The sequence below is a fragment of the Homo sapiens genome, chromosome 3 (genome assembly GCF_000001405.40).
Source record: "Homo sapiens chromosome 3, GRCh38.p14 Primary Assembly".
NCBI lineage: Eukaryota > Metazoa > Chordata > Mammalia > Primates > Hominidae > Homo > Homo sapiens.
The window spans coordinates 167,064,478-167,084,490 of record NC_000003.12 but is presented as its reverse complement, the minus strand read 5'-3'; the positions used below and the strand labels follow the sequence as shown (position 1 = coordinate 167,084,490).

Here is a 20,013-nt window from a genome sequence, read left to right as displayed (position 1 = left end):
AACACTATGCTCCTGACTAAAATGATGTAAGTCTTCTGTGGCATATGAAGATGCTTTACTGCGTCTCTATAAAAGGGAGACACAAAGTTCCAAAGGTCATGGCATCCCCATGAGATTTACTAAAAGCTAATAAGTTGGATCTTGAATCATCATTAGCCCATATTCAGCCTGTATTACAGAAGCCTAGAAGTTCATACCAGAAGAGATGTCTTTGAAGAGAATTTTTAGGAGTAGCAAGTGCTCTGGGAAATGGGATGAGGTCCTCTTTCTGTACTCAGCCTCAAGTGAAAGTGAGTTCAAACAGAAAATGCTTTTCTTCTAAAACTCCAATTCAGACCTGCTTCTTGTTATTGTCAGCGCAGGACTAGAGATTTTTGGAAGAACTTTGCATGGATACTTGTTTGGAGTTCCTGTGCCTGTGTCATACAGGCTGGATAAGCTTAATTTCCAAAGGTTGCAGTGGCAAAAATTGTGAATTTTCCTAAGGACTAAGTCAGTTGATGGAGACTACTCAGATTGAGCCTCCTTGAATAAGTAAATAAGTACATAGTTAAAGAGAATAAAAGGGTATTATAGGGTGAAAAAGGTAGCAATAATTTATGTGCAATAAATAAAATATACTTTTCAGTGATAAGAAAATGAATACAGAGATTCTGTTTCAGGAAACTTGACATATCAAATAATATAGAAAAATAAGCAAAAATGCTCTTTCTACAATATATATGAGAAGCCTGAAGAAAATTTCACTAATGCCTTTCAACTGCAGAGCTGACTTTATAGGAAATTTAAAAAAGACTGTAAATCTAACTGTATTAATTAAAATTCAAGCTGCAGCTCCAATGAAGATATGTCCTGATCCAAGAACCTTGAGATGGAGTAATAATCAGGAAGAAGAATCCCCAGATTTGGTGATTGATATGGTTTGGCTGTGTCTCCATCCAAATCTCACCTTGAATTGTAATAACCCCCACATGCCAAGGATGGGGCCAGGTGGAGATAATTGAATCATGGGGGTAGTTTCCCTCATACTGTTCTCATGGTAGTGATTAAGTCTCACGAGATCCGAAGGTTTTATAAATGGGAGTTCCCCAGCACACACTCTCTTGCCTGCCGCTGTGTAAGATGTAACTTTGCTCCTCATTCACCGTCAGCCGTGATTGTGAGGCCTCCCCAGCCATGTGGAACTGTAAGTCAATTAAACCTCTTTCCTTTATAAATTACCTTGGGTATGTCTTTATTAGCAGCATTAAAACTGACTAATACAGCGATTAACTAGATATCAGGAGTAAAGAAGCCAAATGGTTAAGGGGTGATTGAATAAAGGAGAAAAGTTTTCAACTTGAGAAAGTAGTGGGAAGTAATTTGGGAGGCAGAAATAGAAACAATTTCAGTCCTAAGCAAAACTTGATAGCCTGTTGTGACGTCTTGGTGGTCCGGTGCCTGGGAGCACCGGGACAGAGGAACAAAACTTAGAAGTCACCAGTAGACATAAAGATGATGACTGTTGCTGTGAGAAGTAGTTAAGATTGTTAAGGAAGGAGGGACTGTAGAGAGGCTCTGGGATGAAAGTAACATGGAGAAACACCACTATGTAATGGCTGGGTAGCAGAAGAGGGGCCTATGGTGGGGTGTGTAAATGGGTTTCTATGGATATAGAAGAAAATGACTTAGACTCCACAAAAGGAATGCTCTTAAAGGATAAAAAGGTTAATCAGTGGACTGAGAAGCTGCCTAGAGCTTGAGGCTAGAAGTTTGAGACCAGCCTGAGCAACACAGTGAGACCTCATGTCAACAAAAAATAAACTAAAAAAGTTAGCCAGGCAGGTTGGCATGTGTCTGTAGTCTCAGCTACTTGGGAGGCTGAAGTAGGATGATCATGTGAAGTTTGAGGCTGACGTGAACTATGTGAAACTGCACTCTCGCCTGGATGACACAGTAAGACCCCTGTCTAAAAACAAACAAAAAAACAAAACAAAACAACAATGACAAAAACAAACCAAAAAAACAAACCTGCCTAGCGATCAGACTAGAAGTGGAAGCAAGCCCTGGATTTAGTAACAAGGAGAATTTGGGAGAATTTAGGAGTCTTTATTGAGAATAGGTTAGCTATTAATCTGTCGAAGCAGTATTTAATCTCCTGCTCCTTTCAAATTCCCACCTTCCTTTCAGAGGGTCCTTATTCATCATTCTATTTTACATATTAGAAAACTGGGGTCAGAGAGATTTACTCAGTTGACTAAGGCAGGGGCCAGCCAACTGTGACTGTGGGCCAAGTTCAGTTTACTGTTTGTATCTGAAAGCTAAGAATGGTGTTAACATGTGTAAATACATGGTTACATTTAAATGATTGTATAAGTGCTTATATAATATTGTTGATTTTCCCTTTCCATTCTCAAAGCCTACTACTGACTTTACAGAAAAAGTTTCTTGACCTCTGCAGCCTGTCTTATAGTAAGTGAAAATGATAGGATAAAAGTCTTCTGTTCATTCCACTTCCAAAACAACTCAGCCAGTCAATAGAACAAACCTCCCATTCTCTAACAAACAAAAATAACCTCCATGAATTAGCTACATATTAATGCAAAATATTATTAAATACCAAAGAATCAAAATGTAAATGCAGCCTGATAGCAGAGATTTCAAAAAATCTTCTTAGAATGATCTTCTGGACTTGGTCTTCAATAGTTTTGTGTAGTTTAAGAATCAATCAAATATTTTCAATCAAATAAAGTATCTAGAGGATGAGATGTTTCTTGCTGAAACATTGTCCTAACTAAATCACATATGTAGGCTGGGGAAATAAAGATTTGACCTAATTTTGATAATTTAAATGCAAAATAGTTTTTATCTTCCAGAGAAGAGGAAAAGTTAGGATTTTGACTTTATTTTATGTATGAAATATATTAGAATTTTAAAACTTTAAAAATACATCTTATGGCCCTTCTAGTTCCTTAATTTGTAGTATTGGTAGATTTTTAATAGATATCAAGAGTAATTAATTTATTCACTCTGGGGAAGTATTTGATATGCTGAGTCAATTAATGAATAAAAGAACCCTGTTCCTTCTCTTTTCCCACAGAATAACAAAGGGGCATGAGGGAGGGCATACTCTATCTCAAGAGGATAAACATTAGTTTTATCTCCTCTTTTAGAAGCTGCATACCCATAAGACAAACTTTTTAGTATCCTTGATTTTGTGACATCAATTTTAAGTTGGAGAGTTGGGGGATGCAGAAGGAAGTGTTGATCAAGTGAAGGGCTGGTCCACTCTATTGCCGGTTCACTGTCAATATCAAATGAAATAATGCAAGTGAAATTACTTTAAAAAGTATACATAAATGTAGGAGGTTAACTTTTTCTAAGAGAAATAAGAAAATACATCCAATTAAAATTGTAAATTTTAAAAAACAGTGACGTATCTGTCATGGTAAATAGTAAAATAAAAAGATTTGACTTAAACAATTCTCCTAACAAATAAAACTAAAATATATTTTCCCTTGTACAGGTAGGGTATAAAAGAAATACAAAGAATTAGATTTCTCTCACTTTTCAAGGAAAGTACAATGGGAATTCTTTGAATAAGATTAAATTCAAACTGTGAAAACAAGCCAAAACCTAAACTTTAATTCTACTCAAAAGTAAATGACAATAATAAAGATATTGTTATTTAGCATGAAGAGAATATGGAATTTGGGGTCAGTAAAATGGTCAGGAGCATAATTTAACAACATTGAATACTGGCATGTGCTATGGTCTGAATGTGTCCCTCCAAAATTCATATATTGAAATCCTAGCCTTCAGTGTGATGAAATTAAGTGGCAAGGCCTTTGGGAGTTGATTTTGTCCTAAGGACAAAACCCTCATGATTAGGATTAGTGCCCTTATAAAAGAGATCCCAGAGAGCCAGTTTGCCTCTTGTGAGGACACAGCCGGAAGGTGCCCTGTATCAGCCAGAGAACAGGCCCTCACAAGGTACCAAATCTGCCTTGATTTTGTACTTCCCACCCTCCAGAACAGTGAGAAATAAATTTCTGCTGTCTATAAGCAACCAATTGTATGGCATCTGTTGCGACCAATTTTATGCCCTGACTGGACTAAGACAGCATGAATATGTTCATGTAATATAATAATATTCATACAATGTGAATTATTTTAAAAACTAGACTTATAGTTTGCACAAAACAGAATAAAATATTTAAGTGAAAAAAATGGGCAGTTTGATTTAATACAAATTGTCTATCAGATAAAATGACAATAAATTACTTAAAGCATACTTTCATTTATTTTTAAAATGTTAATAACGTTTTAATTTGAATATATATTACAAATAAATAGAATCACTGTTTACACTGAAGATCAAGAGCTTCAGGGAAGAAAGTCAAGTAGCTTTATGGTTACCATTATTAAGGATCACACAGGCATTAAATGAAGAAGACAGCAAATTATTCTTCATTTCTTTAATCATGTGGTAACAAAGATATAGACCTATGAGTGTAATTTGATACGAACTTTTAGACCATGGTGAGACAAAATGGAGGGAGTTGCATGGTAGGAAAGAAATATGACCCTAAGGGAGTAGCAAATAAAAAGAGAAATGATTAAAAAACAGGTGTCCTGATGTGGCTTGTCTAAATTAAAAGAGAAGGCAGAGTTTTAAAAAATTGTATAAGTATGTATATCCAAGTTTGTGTAGTTGAGTAACTTCTGGGTTACTCTAGGCCTGTTTCTTCTTCCACTGACTACTTTGTCGTTCCAGTATAAATAAATCAAGATTTGCAATACCTGTGATTGACTGGAAACTAATTCCTAGGTAAGATTAGAGAACTCACATTCCTTAGAGGTATCAGGGAAGATTGAGACACCTGGCATGGGAGAAAGTGACACAGAGAATCAAAATTCTTGACCAATCTTTTATCTAGCATTTTTGAAATCACATAAATTTTAACCTGGCATTTTGATTATAACAAGCACGGTTGTAAACCCTTACATACATAGGGAAAAAATGTCCCCCAAATTTCACATGGCCCACTTTGCTAGACGAAGAGACTTGTGCTAACGAACATTGGATTTTAATTCTCAGCCATGAATTTATGTTAAACAATTCTCTTTGGCTGTAAGCCAATGACATTATGTTTAGAAAGTCTTGGGACTTTCTAGATCAAGAAGAAAATGATTGTAAATCCATATTTCAATTTTAATTTTGTTTGAACAGAAGTAACATTTCTTCAGCATTTATAAGTTCTATGTATTTCCACTTGGGGAGAAATGGACACTGCTTTGTCACCCTACACATCAACCTATCAGAAAAAATTTTTTTTGAGCTTTGGGAATTTCACATAACTGTTTGCCTCCAATATTTAATACATTAGAGCAATATAGCCAATAATCTTATGATTTCTCAATGTCTCAAATGATTTCAGAAATTTGATTCAATAATTTCACTTTTGAATTATATAAGATCTTATTAAATATCTACTAAGAAAATGAAGCCATAAATCAATCCCTCTGTTTCAAATTGCTTTGAAAGTGGGTTCCCCTTTTCTCCCATTGCAATGCTATTTCTGATAATAGTTTAATGATATACTTTTGTATGGTAGGGAAGATCATCATATTATGATTTCTTTTCTAGACCAAACTTGAAAAAGTGATTTGTGGAAGCCCTGCTTTCGATAAAGTTGGATCCTTTCTGAGCAGTGTATAAATTTGATCAGAAATGTTGGCAGTCTTTGGTACCAAAGCATGAAATCGAGAAATAATGAAGCATGAAGCTTCTTTTTTTACCAAACCAGAGAAACCAGATGTTATTACAGAGACCTGTCTTTACAGAGTACTGAGATTTTTTTCCTAGTCAAATGTGGCTGCTAACACTAACACACACAAACGACAATTTTGAAGAGGTTGACAATCTCTAAAATTTCAAACAGGAGCCCTTAAAGTAGTCAGGCTTTTGTGACTGCATCAGCAGCACATAATGCACTAAACTCAGGAAGTGGATGTGATGCAGGAGAATAGGGTCTGGAGGCAGGCAGCACGAGTCTGATTCATGCTGACTTACTAGAACGAGATCAAATGGAAACACTTCAGCAATGACATAAATGTGAATGGCTTTGCAACTTCACTTCATCCTCTCCATTTACAAAGGCAACATGCACCATGTTACATCTTCTCCATTTACGTAGGCCACAGGCACCAAGCAACATCCTCTCCATTTACATAGGGCACGTACTGAGTAAATGACTTTGTAACTTGACTTCATTCTCTTCATTTACATAGGGCATACAGCAAGTAACCAATGAGAAACCTCGAGAGAGTATTGAAACCCCAGAAAATTCTGTAACCAGGACTCTTGAGCCCCTGTGCTCGGGCCCACTCCCACACTATGGAGTGTACTTTCATTTTCAAAAAGAAAATCTTAAATCTCTGCTTTTGTTGCTTCACTCTCCTGGCTTTTTTTTTTGTGAGTGTTGTCCAATTCTTTGTTCAAGATGCCAAGAACCTGGCCACCTTCGACCAGTAACAGATGGACTGAGAGAAACCAGTAGATTCAAATTATTGTCCAATGTAGAAAAATGGAAAAGTTACCATATTCCTTGGTAATTTGCTTTAGAGTTATTGAAGAAACTTTAGAGATATTAACACAGATGGCATTATACAGAGACATAGCTGCTTCTGTTTTACTCTGCTCAAAGACATGAACAAATTCAACTTATTCCCAGGGTACATAACCTAGGGTGTTATTTCTTTTGTTTGATAATAGGATAAACAGCATAATGGGACACTGCAGTGAGGATGCTTTTGTTTTGAACAAATCAAAAGGTAAAATTCCAAGCTGTTTAATTCAAGCCTTCTTATTGCTCAAAATTTAAAAAATAGCTATGTATAGATACAACGTGGTTCTTCATTTTATTTGTTGTTGTTGTTGTTGTATTCATGTTTCACTGGCAAAGAACTCAGCATTCAAGAAGTCATAAAAGTAAGAAACATTTAAAAAGAAGAAATAACAAAAAAGGATAAAATACTTTTACTTGAAGGAAATAGATTAGTTGTTATACTAAATACAAATGGTCTGAAATCCTCTATTGAAAGACAGAGACTGTAAGTCTGGGTTAAAAAATAAAATCCAATTATCTATTACATACAAGAAATACACTTAGAAAAAAGCACTTAAAAGAAGCAGTTGAGTTTCTGTGACACTTCAAGGTTATTGATTTTAAAAGAGCTAATAGCACTCACCTTTGCCCTACTTTTTTTTCTTCTGCAGTTGTTATTATTTTTGTCAGTTTGATGTTTTCTAACTAAAGCTACATAAAATATCAAGGTATTTCTAAAAATTAATTCCTAGCAAGTGGAAATTCTTTCAAGTAGTATAAATTGGTGAGAATAATAATAATAATTCACTATGTATATGGCCAAGCATTTGTTCAGAGTAAAACAATGATTTTAATAACATAATTTTATATAAACTTAAAAACCAGTTTTCTTAAAGCAACAGGAAAACATTATAGGAAAAAATATTTTTATGACCATTTTTTAATGACATACATGGGACACAGCAAGTCCTATTGTACTTGCTAATATTTTAAACTAGCTTTGCTATATATATTTTCACCTAGTACTTTTTCATAGTAAATGTTTGATGACTTTTGAATGAATGGACTTTAATAGAATATTCTTTAAATTTGGGTGTTTTACTTCCTTTCCATGGGAAATTGGGTCTGTGCTTAGCATAGAGCAATAATTCAGTTTATAATTTTAATTTGATTAATTTTTGACTCAAAGATAAAAATTCCAACACTGCTTGGGATCCAGTTCTCTGCATATTTTTGGAAACATAAAATATCATCGATAATACTTTAAACTTTTAAACAATAAATACTTGGAGGTAATTTTAGTCTTTCAGAAGAGTTGCAAAAATAATATAGAGAATTTTCTTATGTTCTTACCCAGCTTGTCCTTATGTCAACTTCTTAACATAACCATAGAAAATTTATCAAAACTAGGAAATTAGCCTTGGAACAATACTATTAACTGAAGTACAAAATTTATTCAGATTTTATCAGTTCTTCTAATATCTCTGTTCTGTTCCGGGATCCAATTCTGTCTGATTCCTGCATTTAGTTGTCATGTCTCATTAGTCTTTTGTGATCTTTGGCAGTTCCTTAGCTTTTCCCTGTCTTTCAAGACCTTGATATTTTTGAAGAGTACTGGTCCGTTATTACGTAGAATGCTCTTCAATTTGTGCTTGTTTTATGATTTACTGCATTTAGATGGAAGTTATTCATTATTGGGAAGGATATTACAGAGGTGAGATGCTTTTCTCAGTGTATCACATAAGAAGGCATATGATGTTGGAATCTCTTTATCCCAACGATGTTATTCTTGATTCTTTGGCTAGGATGGTCTCCTCCAGAATTCTTAGCTATAAACACAAATTTTCCCTTTGGAATTAGTAAATATTTTGAAGAGAGAATTTAGGACTATGCAAATATCTGGTTTCTATTATATTTGGGCTATGCAAATATCTTACATTTTTGTTATGTTGTTTTAGAATTTACCACTTTATAGTGCCTATGACAATTATTACAGTGATAGTCTAATAAATATTTTTTATTTCCCCTGTTCCTTTTATATTTATAAATTGGAATTCTTCTGTAGGAAAGAGCTGCCACATATAGCCCACTTATTTGTCTATTAAGTTGTTTATTTATTTCAACATGGAGTCAATCTTAAATTATTTGGGTTATATTTGAAATGATATTTATTTTCTTGCTTAAATTCAAACTTTTACCATGAAATATTTCAGGTTGTTTTTTATTCCTCTTTCTTTTTTTTTCTTTCTTCCTCCCTTCCTCCTTTATCTCTTTCTTTCTTTTTGAACTCTTCTTATTTTCTGGTCCTATGAGATATTCCAAACTTGAAATCAACCAGCTCTCCTAAACTATTTATTGGAAAATAGTTGTTAGAAACCAAAATCTGGCCGGGCGCGGTGGCTCACGCCTGTAATTCCAGCACTTTGGGAGGCCGAGGCAGGTGGATCGCAAGGTCAGGAGATCGAGACCATCCTGTGAATGGTGAAACCCTGTCTCTACTAAAAATTCAAAAAATTAGCCGGGCATGGTGGCGGGGGCCTATAATCCCAGCTACTCTGGAAGCTGAGGCAGGTGGATCACAAGGTCAGGAGATTGAGACCATCCTGTGAATGGTGAAACCCCGTCTCTACTAAAAATACAAAAAATTAGCCGGGTGTGGTGGCTATAGTCCCAGCTACTCTGCAAGCTGAGGCAGGAGAGTGGCATGAACCCGGGAGGCGGAGCTTGCAGTGAGCCGAGGTTGCGCCACTGCACTCCAGCCTGGGCGACAGAGAGAGACTCTGTCTCAAAAGAAAAAAACAAAAAACAAAAAAACAAAAAAACAAAAAAAAAGAAAATAAAAAGAAACCAAAATCTATTTGCAAAATTGAATTTGAACTTTTAAAAATAACTTTATAGAGAAATAGTTTAAATACACTAAGGTGATCTCATTTTAAATATATTATTCAATCAGGTGTTTGTTTAGCCTTATAAAAACCTGTCAAACTATCTTGCAATGTAATTATGCCATTCTACACTCCAACCAAAAATACATGAGAGTTCTGAAATGGTTTTTGCCTTTATAAAATTTCACTAATGTTTCTGCTGAGAGTGATTTAATTTTTAGCATTTTATAAATAATAACAAACAGGTGATGGATTGCTTATTTATTATAATGTATTACGATTATTTGCTTCACTATATTCAGGAGATTTAATACAGGTGCATGCAGAGAATGATTAGTGTTTTTTGTTGTTGTTTTCTTTTTTGTCTGGCTTATATTCCTATTCAGGCCTTTCTGCCTTCACTAGAAATTAAGGAGTTATATTTTGAGGCCATGAATAAAAATATAGATAAATCACAAAACATATAATGACTATTTGACACACTTACGGTAGTATCTGATGCTAACAAAGAACATGATGTTTTCTACTTTAAAGAAACCCCTAGACAATAGTTCTATCTTTTCATGTATATGCTGTAAAATTTACTTTTTGTGGTATTTCCAGGGCCGTTGAGGTCCAGATGCCTTGATTCTATTCAGATAAACCCGAGTAGATTTGAACTTTGCTGCTTATAAGAAAAGATAAAATAATCTATCAAAATAAATGGTCTGAGCAACTCTGGATTTAAAAGATATATATCTCTATGGTATTTTAAAGTCTGTAATTTTGATGGTAGTAGAGAATCAGGACTATAAAAATAGTGTCTTTCTTCAGTAATATTGTTTAAGATGGAGATATCACCTGTACACAAAACAGCTGAAGAACTTGTTGCGAATTTTCTGATGTGGGAAATACTTTGAAAATTGTATGTAAAAACAAACACTATTCAAACATTAGTTACTAATGTTGAACATCCCCTACAATCAATCTCATTGTGTATTTTCAATTTAATGTAATTGGTAATATTTTAAAATATAGAGTGATTTAAAGGTAAACTTTTTTTTAATATAATATGAGACACAGCCCATTGTGATGACTTATGGTATACACTATATTGTGTTCTAAGCAATTGTACATATTAATTTGAACTGATAATTTACTTCTTTAAACTAGTAAAAAGCAATGCATATCCAAAAGTCAATATATTTTTATTCTTTTCTTGTCTACATGCATGTTGTTGAAAATTGTTGAATATGTGTGAATGGTGCTGAGATATTAAATTAAATGCATAATTTCTTTGGAAAAATACAATAAATGAAGAAAAATAAAGTTATGCTCAGATTCTCAAAGTACTGTCCTCATGAGGTAATTTCAGCAAGCTTTCTACACTGTAGGATTACAACAAAAGTCAATACCGGTTTAGAGAGCTGAATTTCCAATATTGGGTTTGAGAGTTCTACATCCTGTGATTCAAAATACCAATTACAGAAACTTGAGAAAACAAGTTTCCTTTGGAAAAGCATGCTATTCAAAGTGTCCAAAAGCAATATGCAAAGAACAATCTAGCTTTGAAATAGCCAGATGTGTGAAACTATAAAATCTGCTTGCTGCTCTAGTATTTTAATTAAAGTGAAATACTATTCTAGGTGAAACTGGAGTTAGAGTGTTGATTCCTTACTGAACTGATAGAATTATTAATGCAATTCTATAGAAATCAATTTCTGAAACAATAGAGAATATTAGCTAAGGAATAATTGATGTAGCCTCCGCTTCTTATGGGCAACACAGTCCCACTGAAACTGCAAGGATTGTATAAAAAATAAGAAAATTCATTGAAGATTTTGCTTGGAATTCTTAAAATTATTAATAATTGTCAAGCTTTTAATCTTTTTCAGGTTGCTTCTGTATTTTTTTTTGTTTTAAATTTCCTAATAGCCATTTATCTACTTAGGTGACTTTGTTTAAAGCTATTATAACCAGTTACTTCTACCACTTCGATATGATTTTTGTCATCTGACTCCATTTCTACATCTATCATATTGTATTGTTTTTTGTAAATAAATCTTGTATATAGCCATCATTTTTCTTTATTTCTACTTCCTTGTTTACTTTGGCTTCTGTATAAATTCAATGTTATACAAGAATAAGCTCAAATTCAAATTCTCGGCCTCTTGATGACCTTTGCCTGAAGTGATAATTTCCTTCTATAACTTTCTTACAGCAATCTTCATCTGTACATTTCAAATGTCATCTCTCTTATAGTTGTTTTGAGTGATTATTTAAACATTTTGTTGTTCAACTTTATCATAATCCACATTGTCTTAACGATGAATACCTGGCACATTGCTTTGATATTGTAAATGGTGTACATTTCCCAGTTTCATTTATCATTCTCTCCGGCACATTTATTTATGAGCCTAATAATGTTTTGCTGTTCATTTCATAAGATATTTAGCTGGAAATACTATAGGTGTCTACTATATAAAAACAACATATTATTATTTATATCTCTCTAAGCTACAACTTTAGTGAGGAATAAAATTGATGTTCGTACTATTTATCTTCTTGTTATGAATAAAATTGGATGAGCTAATTACTTGTCTGCTTTTCTGAAGGATATAGTATTTCTTATAGCTTTCCTGCTATAAGAAAACTATATGGCACTTCTTTTTTTTTAATATATGGAGAAAACTTCTAGATGCTTGAGGTGGTGAGGGGAAAGTTAAAGGTGGTAAAATTTGGGGTAAATTGTCGAGAAGAAATTATGGATACTGGGGCTATCCTGAAAGAATTCTTGACATCTTGCAGAATTAAATTCGCTATAGAGTTTACCAAAATATCTATGAAACTGGAGGGTGATTGAAGGAAGGAAAATATAGTATGTTAACTTCCATAAATTTCAAAAGAAATGAAAAAGCAAACACAGTAGACTTAGAATGTAGAAGAAACCATTTCATCTTATTTATATAAAAGGGGAAATTCTGATTAAAACTCCATTTTGATCTGTAAAACAAATGTACTGGCAAAATAAGTCACACCTGGGACTGTGTCTACACATACCAAAATTTTAAAATGAGAAAGTTGGAGGTGAGGAAGACTATTTAATATTGTTGATACAATAAAGTAAGAATCAATCAGATATTTAAAAATCTGTAATAAAGTTGTGCATATGTACGCACCCTGAATATGTAAATAAAATTCCAGATGATTTACAATATAAAAACAAAATAACTATACGTTATATAAATATCTCAATTATCTTCAACCATTTTGGAAAACATTTGGGCAATTTCTTACAAAACTGAACATGGTAGAAACTGATATCCACACAAAAACTAGAATGTGAAAATGTATAGCAGTTTTATTAATAATTGTCCCAAACTGGAAGCAACCAAGATGTTTTAGTGTCTTTTATTAATTTTGGAAACTTTTCAGTCATTATTACTTTAACTATTTATTCTTCTCCATTCTCTCTTCTCCTTCTGGTATTCCAACTACATGTATGTTATACCTTTGAAATCGTCCTACTAGTCTTGAAATCTCTTTTTCTCTCTTTCTCTCTCTTCCTCCCTTCATTTCTTCTCTTTGTAGTTTGGGAAGCTTCTATTGACCTATATTCAATACCACTGATTCTTTCTTGTGGCATGACCAGTCTACAATGAGCCTTACATTACCCTTCTGTTTCTTCACATTGCTTTCATTTCCATTAGAGGTCTTACATATTAATCATAGTTGTCTTAAATTCTCTCATAATTCCAAAATTGTGTTACTGCTGAGTTTGATTCTGATGCTATCTTTGTCTTTTCAAACTATTTTATTTTTTGCCTTTTAGCATGTCTTTTAATATTTTTGATGAAGGCCGGGCATAATGTATCAAGTAAGAGAAATTGAGATAAATTGGCTTTTTTTTTTCTTTGGGACAGGGTCTCACTTAGTATCCCAGGCTGGAGTGTAGTGGCACAACTGTAGCTCACTACAGCCTCAAATCCCTGGACTCAATTGATCCTCCTGCCTCAGTCTCCTAAGTACCTGACTATAGACACATGCCATCATGCCTGGCAAATTTTATTTTTATTTATTTATTTATTTATTTATTTTAGAGAGGGGGTTTCACTATGTTGCCCAGGCTGCAGGCTGGTCTGGAACTCTTGGCCTCAAGTGTTCTCCCAGCCTCAGTCTCCTTAGTTGTGGAGACTAAAGATGTGAGCCAGTGTGCCTGGCCTAATTGGCTTTTAACATGAGACTTTATGTTAATCTGATCAGAATTTAGGCTGTGCTTAATGTTTGCTGCATTTATAGGTGCCGGGGGTTTCAAATTCCTCTTGTGTCCTATTTTCGTATCTCCTGTTGACTTCGGAATTCCTTAGCTGCTCCTCCTAAGAGTTTGGATCTTGCAACTCTTTCAGCTATAATCCTTTGTTATATATCCTCTGTTGATGTGGTGCTAAATCACGGAGGAGGGGACACGTTTCACCATTTTGTGATTTGATCTCAGTGTTTTAGGAGATAGGTATCTCTGAACTCTTAACTTTCACAAACATGTCTTAGCTTTTATTTTCCTTCCTTAGGTGAAATAGGAAGGCTAGAAGGGACTATAGTGGGAAAACTATGCCCTTCCGCCAAGTGGGAAAAGGCTCTGGTAAAGTCTTTTTTGTTTTTAGATTATAAAGCCCTTTAGGAAGAATGTCCTCTCTCTCTCTCTCTCTATATATATATATATGTGTGTGTGTGTGTGTGTGTGTGTGTGTGTATATGTATATATATGTGTATATATATAAAATTTTATTTTATTTTATTTTATTGAGATGGAGTCTTGCTCTGTCGCTCAGGATGGAGTGCAGTGGCATGATCTTGGCTCACTGCAACTGCTGCCTTCCGGGTTCAAGCGATTCTCCTGTCTCAGCCTCCCCAGTAGCTGGGACTACAGGCGTCCACTACCATGCCTGGCTAATTTATTTTTATTTTTATTTTTAGTATAGATGGGGTTTCACCACATAGGTCAGGCTGGTCTCGAACTCCTGACCTCAAATGATCCACCTGCTCGGTCTCCCAAAGTACTGGGATTACAGGCGTGAACCACCATGCCCGGCCTGCTTAGTATATTTCACAGTGATTATTCTTCCTTGCCCCCAATCGGGTTCATGAAAGGAACGTTCCCAGCTCTTTACTGGACAACATGGTGAGGCCCTCATGGAAGTGTGGGGCCCCTCAAGACCGCATCCTCAGGTGTTTCTCCCATCATACAAGTCTTCACTCTGCCTGTAGTTACTCATCAGAATTAACATTTATGTGTTCCTACAGGCTTATGGCTTCCGTAGCTTCTGCTCCAGATAAGCAAATCTAGCTGTAATTCTTCAGATTCACCTGTCTTTTCAGATTTTGAAGGAGTAATTTTCCCAGGGACCTCACTTCTCTGAAGAGTCCAAGAAAAGTAGTATATTTTTGGTTGGTTCGGCTTTTTCTTCTTGTAAAGATGAAAGCCATGACTTAAGTGACTGCCTAACATTTTATTAATCATACACAAATGTGATTTGTTTTAATAAAGTTTTTAAAATTGCATTGCTGATATTTTTCAGTTGTAACACACATCTGATTAGTGTATTATAAAATTAATCACTATTAACTTCTATTACAGAAAGAAAGTCTGAATATGCATTTCTTCAATCTATCTTTGCCCCATGGTTTAGGTCACAGTCTGACAATGAGATGAACTAAACTGAGATTTGGAAGGTAGAAGAAAAAAGAGGATTATTCTTCAGAAGCCTTTGAAGCCAAGGGTGTGGGCAGATGACAGACAAGAAGTTCACAGCAGCTTGCTGACAACATCCTACATCTCACCTGCTTTAGGCTTTGTATAGCTTAGATAGCTCATGGTGACTTCTGGAGAATTGTTCTCCTTGGTATTGCAGATTCAAATAGTCAGTGGAAGCCACTCAGCAGTTCTTGAGATTTCAGTGACTTCTGGAGGAATTTTTAAGAACCATCTACTTTAGTGCCATAGGCTGGAAATATTGGTGAGAGCTTCCCTTTCTTTACTCTCCGATCCATACAATGGTTTTGAAAAACTTTTAGTTTCTTCTATTGAAATCCTTCATACTTGGAATAATAAAATAGCTTCTATTTTCATGACCAAACATTGACTATTACAAAAATATTTCCCCTTATTTGAGAGCCAATACACATGATAGAATCTATACATGATAGATGTGTAGAGGACAAGATTGTTATATGTTTTGGATAAGTTAGAGAACCTAGCCAGTACTCTTTCTTGAATGGTAGGCCACCCTACTTTCAATTCTCCTGTGCTGGTAGACCAGAGGTACTACAGAGTCAAAGAGAGAAACACTCAGATTAAAATGAACAAATAAAAAATAAAATTTAAAAATGTTATATTGTTCTTTGAGAAATATTTTGTAATCTGCCTGCTCTTTAATAATATATAGTTAAAATATATATATGAAATATATACATATATAAAAAACTAGGAAATTAATCTCTGGAAACATCTGGATTTTTTTCTGAGAATGGAGATAATTCCTAATATATATATATATATATATATACCTTATTCACACATACATATATGTGAAAATTATTTTAAAATACTTAACTATAACCATTTCAACTGTAAAGATTTAAAACAGTAAGACTGACAAACACCAGATTCTTAATGTCATTATCATTTATACCAATGTCTTTTGGTGATGGTGGTGAGGGCTTTGCCTTCAAACAAATAAATGCACTCAGAGGGATTAATGTGGATTTTTACTGAGAGAGATTCATTTATGCATTGGAAAATTTGGAATTATTTCCTGGTGAATACTAAATTGTGATACAGTATCTGTGAAGAGCCTGCATTTCTTCACTTGCCAATTCTGGTAATAGCAAAGAAAATATCTCCGTTCTGAGGTCTTCCCTTCATTCAAGTCTGAAGACATTGTCAGTATAGTTCACCTCCACAAAAAGGAAATTAAGAGGTTTGATTCAGCAGAAAGCTATTTTGGCTCTACCTGTTAAAAAAAATGTACACGTACACATTTCAAACTATCTACAGCCAAAGGACTTGCTGACTCCTTTCTTGTCAGGCTTCACAGCAAACCAATCACCCAGGATCTGGTATCCACACTATCTCCAATGCAATAGATGAAGACTGTGTGATAGAAGCAATTTCTATTGACTTCTCTAAGGCATTTGCTTTAGCTGACCATAAATTATCCCTACAAAACTTCAGGGATTTGGGGCGTTGTAGTGACTACATAAAGTGGTTTGCATTAACTTGTCAAATTGTATAGAAAAGAAAGCCTTGTGAACATGGATTCAAGGGAATTACAAATGGGACGCCTGAGGGCATATTTTATTTTCTCTGCTTGACGATTATCTTACAGTCTAATGTGTTTTCTCCCTTGTGCACATGTGTGCTGATGATATAGTGTGATTTTACAGCACAACGCTGATGCCCTGGGGTAGCCCCCGCAGCCTGCAGTTCAACTTACTGAGCTGTTTTTTTTCTCCAGAAAGTTGATTCAAATGAAACCTGATGCCAAAATCTTAGTCTTGTGTTTCACTTCAAGATTTCATAAATTTAACATCTCATTAATGATTAACAAGCAGGTTACATTTCAGAACTGGCTGAGTAAGCTTCATTTCTGGATTCTGTCCTAACTTTGCTTCAGATTTTTTAAAAAGCACACTTTTCTCTCTTTTCAGTGCCTGTAAAAATTTCTCTCTGGGAAAGCGTTGTGTTATTTAAATGTGATCACATTGGCCTTTAAAAAAAATTATTAGGGTAGAGAAGGAGTTGGCTGCATGCCAGCCTGGATGTTTAGTGGGCAGTTGCTGCCCCAGTGCACCTGGTTTGACAGGTGTCTAAGTGTCTCTTAGAGCCTCTTAGGACCTTGCACTCTCCAGCAGCTGTGGAAGCTGATAAAGCCAATGTGATGTGAAAATCTGGGATCTTCACAGGCAGAATGCATCCTAACCTCAGTGGCTGGCATGAGTGGGCTGGTGCATCCTACCAAGCCAGAAGGGGAGGACTGAGAAATGTATTCAAACCAAAATGTGCACTTGAAAATCTAGTCCCTGATCATTACTTTAATTATCATAATGTATAAAATGGCACAATCTGATACTAAAAGGAGCAACTGAGATTGTCATTTTTCATAGAAGGAAGATAAAATATGGAAATTCAGAATCATGCAATGATACATGGAATGGCTCATTTAAATAGTATTGCTTTTTCTTTGCAAATAGGAAAACCAAGGCTCAGAAAACTTACATAACTTCCCAAGGTCATAGAGCTCTTTCTAAGTAACTAATTTGGTATAAAGAGTATTAGGAATATAAGGTCATATGATTTTTATCCTTAATTCTGTTAATGATATCTGGTAGAAGTGATATCTAATAAGAATGCAAGATAAAGAACGAAATGTTACAGAGTTTAAACATTTTTCTAAAGTCCCTAGTCAATTACCAATCATTTCTACCATTCTTTTTTATTGTTATTTAGTTTTTATTTCATAGTCATAAACTTAACTTTGCAATCCAGCTAGACATGGAAGGGAACAAGGAAAACATGGCACCCAAAGGGAACTGCAGCGAGAGCACAAAGATTCCAGGATACTGCGAGCAAATGGGGTGGAGAGGTGCTCTCCTGAGCTACAGAAGGAATAGTCTGGTGGTTAAGATAAAATATCAAACACAAGTCAAACGTATTAGAGTTTTCCACAGTCAGAAATGGTGATCTTCTTGCTGGTCTTGCCATTCCTGGACCCAAAGCGCTCCATGGCCTCGACAATATTTATGCCTTCTTTCACCTTGCCAAAGACCACATGCTTGCCATCCAACCACTCAGCCTTGGCAGTGCAGATGAAACACTGGAAACTGTTTGTGTTGGGTCCAGTATTTGCCATGGACAAGATGCCAGGACCTGCGTGCTTTAGGATGAAGTTCTTGTCATCAAATTTCTCCCCTTGGATGGACTTGCCACCAGTGCCATTATGACTTGTGAAGTCACCACGCTGACACATAACCCCGGGAATAATTCTGTGAAAGCAGGAACCCTTATAACCAAATCCTTTTTCTCCAGTGCTTAGAGCATGAAAGTTTTCTGGTGTCTTTGGGATCTTGTCTGCAAACAGCTCGAAGGGGATACCACCCAAGGGCTCACCGTGGACAGCGATGTCGAGGAACACGGTGGGGTTGACCATGGCTGATAGTAGAGGGCTCCCGGTGGCAGCGGCGTCTGCAAAGCCCATTTTTTCTGTTACTATACGAAAATACCAAGTTGATTGTTTGCATAAAGACAAAATGACTTTGTCACATTGATTTAAATGTAGTACAGTAAAGAAGTGTGAACATTTTGTATCCTTCATTGTAACTTAACTGCTTACTTTATTTGTGTTAAATTTCTTAAGCCCCGTTCATCTCTAAAACAAATTAATGGCAACAGAAGTACTTTCTCTCTCTCTCTGTCTCTCTCTCTCTCTCTGTGTGTGTGTGTGTGTGTGTGTGTGTGTGTGTGTGTGTGTATGTGAGAGAGAGAGAGAGGACATAATTAAAATTCTGAAAATCTTATTTTAAGTCTAGAAGATTAGATGTAAGATTTTCCCTCTAAAATCAGAGCTAATAAAAGTGAGCAGATGTTTTAACTTATGCTATTTCAATTATTATCTCTTGTTTATCATACAGATCAAAATCCCATTTCTAAAAACAAATGACTAGTATACTCATTTTCACCAAGATGACCAATAAAATGTTGTTTTGTTATGGAATGTTTTTATTAGAGAATAAAGCAATCACAGTTTTTTAAATTTCAGAAATCTGTGTCCTCTGAGGAAGATACCTGTGGAGAAGTTTTGTGTATCTACATGTGGATTCCTTGTTTTTCAAAAAACATTAGGCATAAGTAATTGTCAACAGTATTTCTTCCGACCAGCCCCAGTTTCACTTGAAAACCAAGACACAAATATACCAAATATTAGAACAAAGATTGCTCAGGGTAGACACATTTTTTGTGTGTGTGTTTGTCTACTTTTGCTTTGACCATTCCTTGGCCTTTTACTTTCTCTCTCATTTTCCTATCCCGTGATTTTGGTTTTCCTAATTTTTAGCCTCCTTTCCTTCTAGTTCAAGTATAATTCTGGTGTTTTCTCAAACACTTTTGTACTTTGCTCCCCCTGTGAATTGGCTAAAAATATTCCATTTGTTAGGAATTGAAAATCAGTGTCACCTAGGACTGTGTGAAGGTTTTCTCAATCGCACTGTATGGAGAAGTGCTCGCCATCATTTAAATCTTCTTATTTATTCGCAACAATGGCATACCAATTATATTATCTGGTCACGTAAATTCCCTGTATCTTATTCATGGTCTTAGATTATGATTTTATTGAAGAATGGAGACTGACTGTGTATTTTTAAGTCATGCAGAATATTTAACAGTGCTTTATACATGGTAGCCACTTAAACCTCATTGAAAAGTAAATTATATTGATTCAAAATGAATATGTCAGCCAACTTCAGACTGAAGACAATAGCATTTTTTGAATTTATAAATATTGAAG

At 35.0% G+C, this 20,013-nt stretch overlaps 1 long non-coding RNA gene and 1 pseudogene across 1 annotated transcript in view; one reads left to right on the top strand and one right to left on the bottom strand.

The window, feature by feature from the left end:
* LOC105374196 (uncharacterized) overlaps positions 1 to 15,588 on the top strand; it is a 37,858-nt gene extending 22,270 nt beyond the window's left edge. Inside the window, exon 3 of the long non-coding RNA XR_001741011.2 lies at positions 15,142 to 15,588. This is a non-coding gene — a long non-coding RNA (uncharacterized LOC105374196). The remainder of the gene's footprint in view (positions 1 to 15,141) is intronic.
* Positions 17,949 to 18,702, bottom strand: PPIAP74 (peptidylprolyl isomerase A pseudogene 74; annotated as a pseudogene).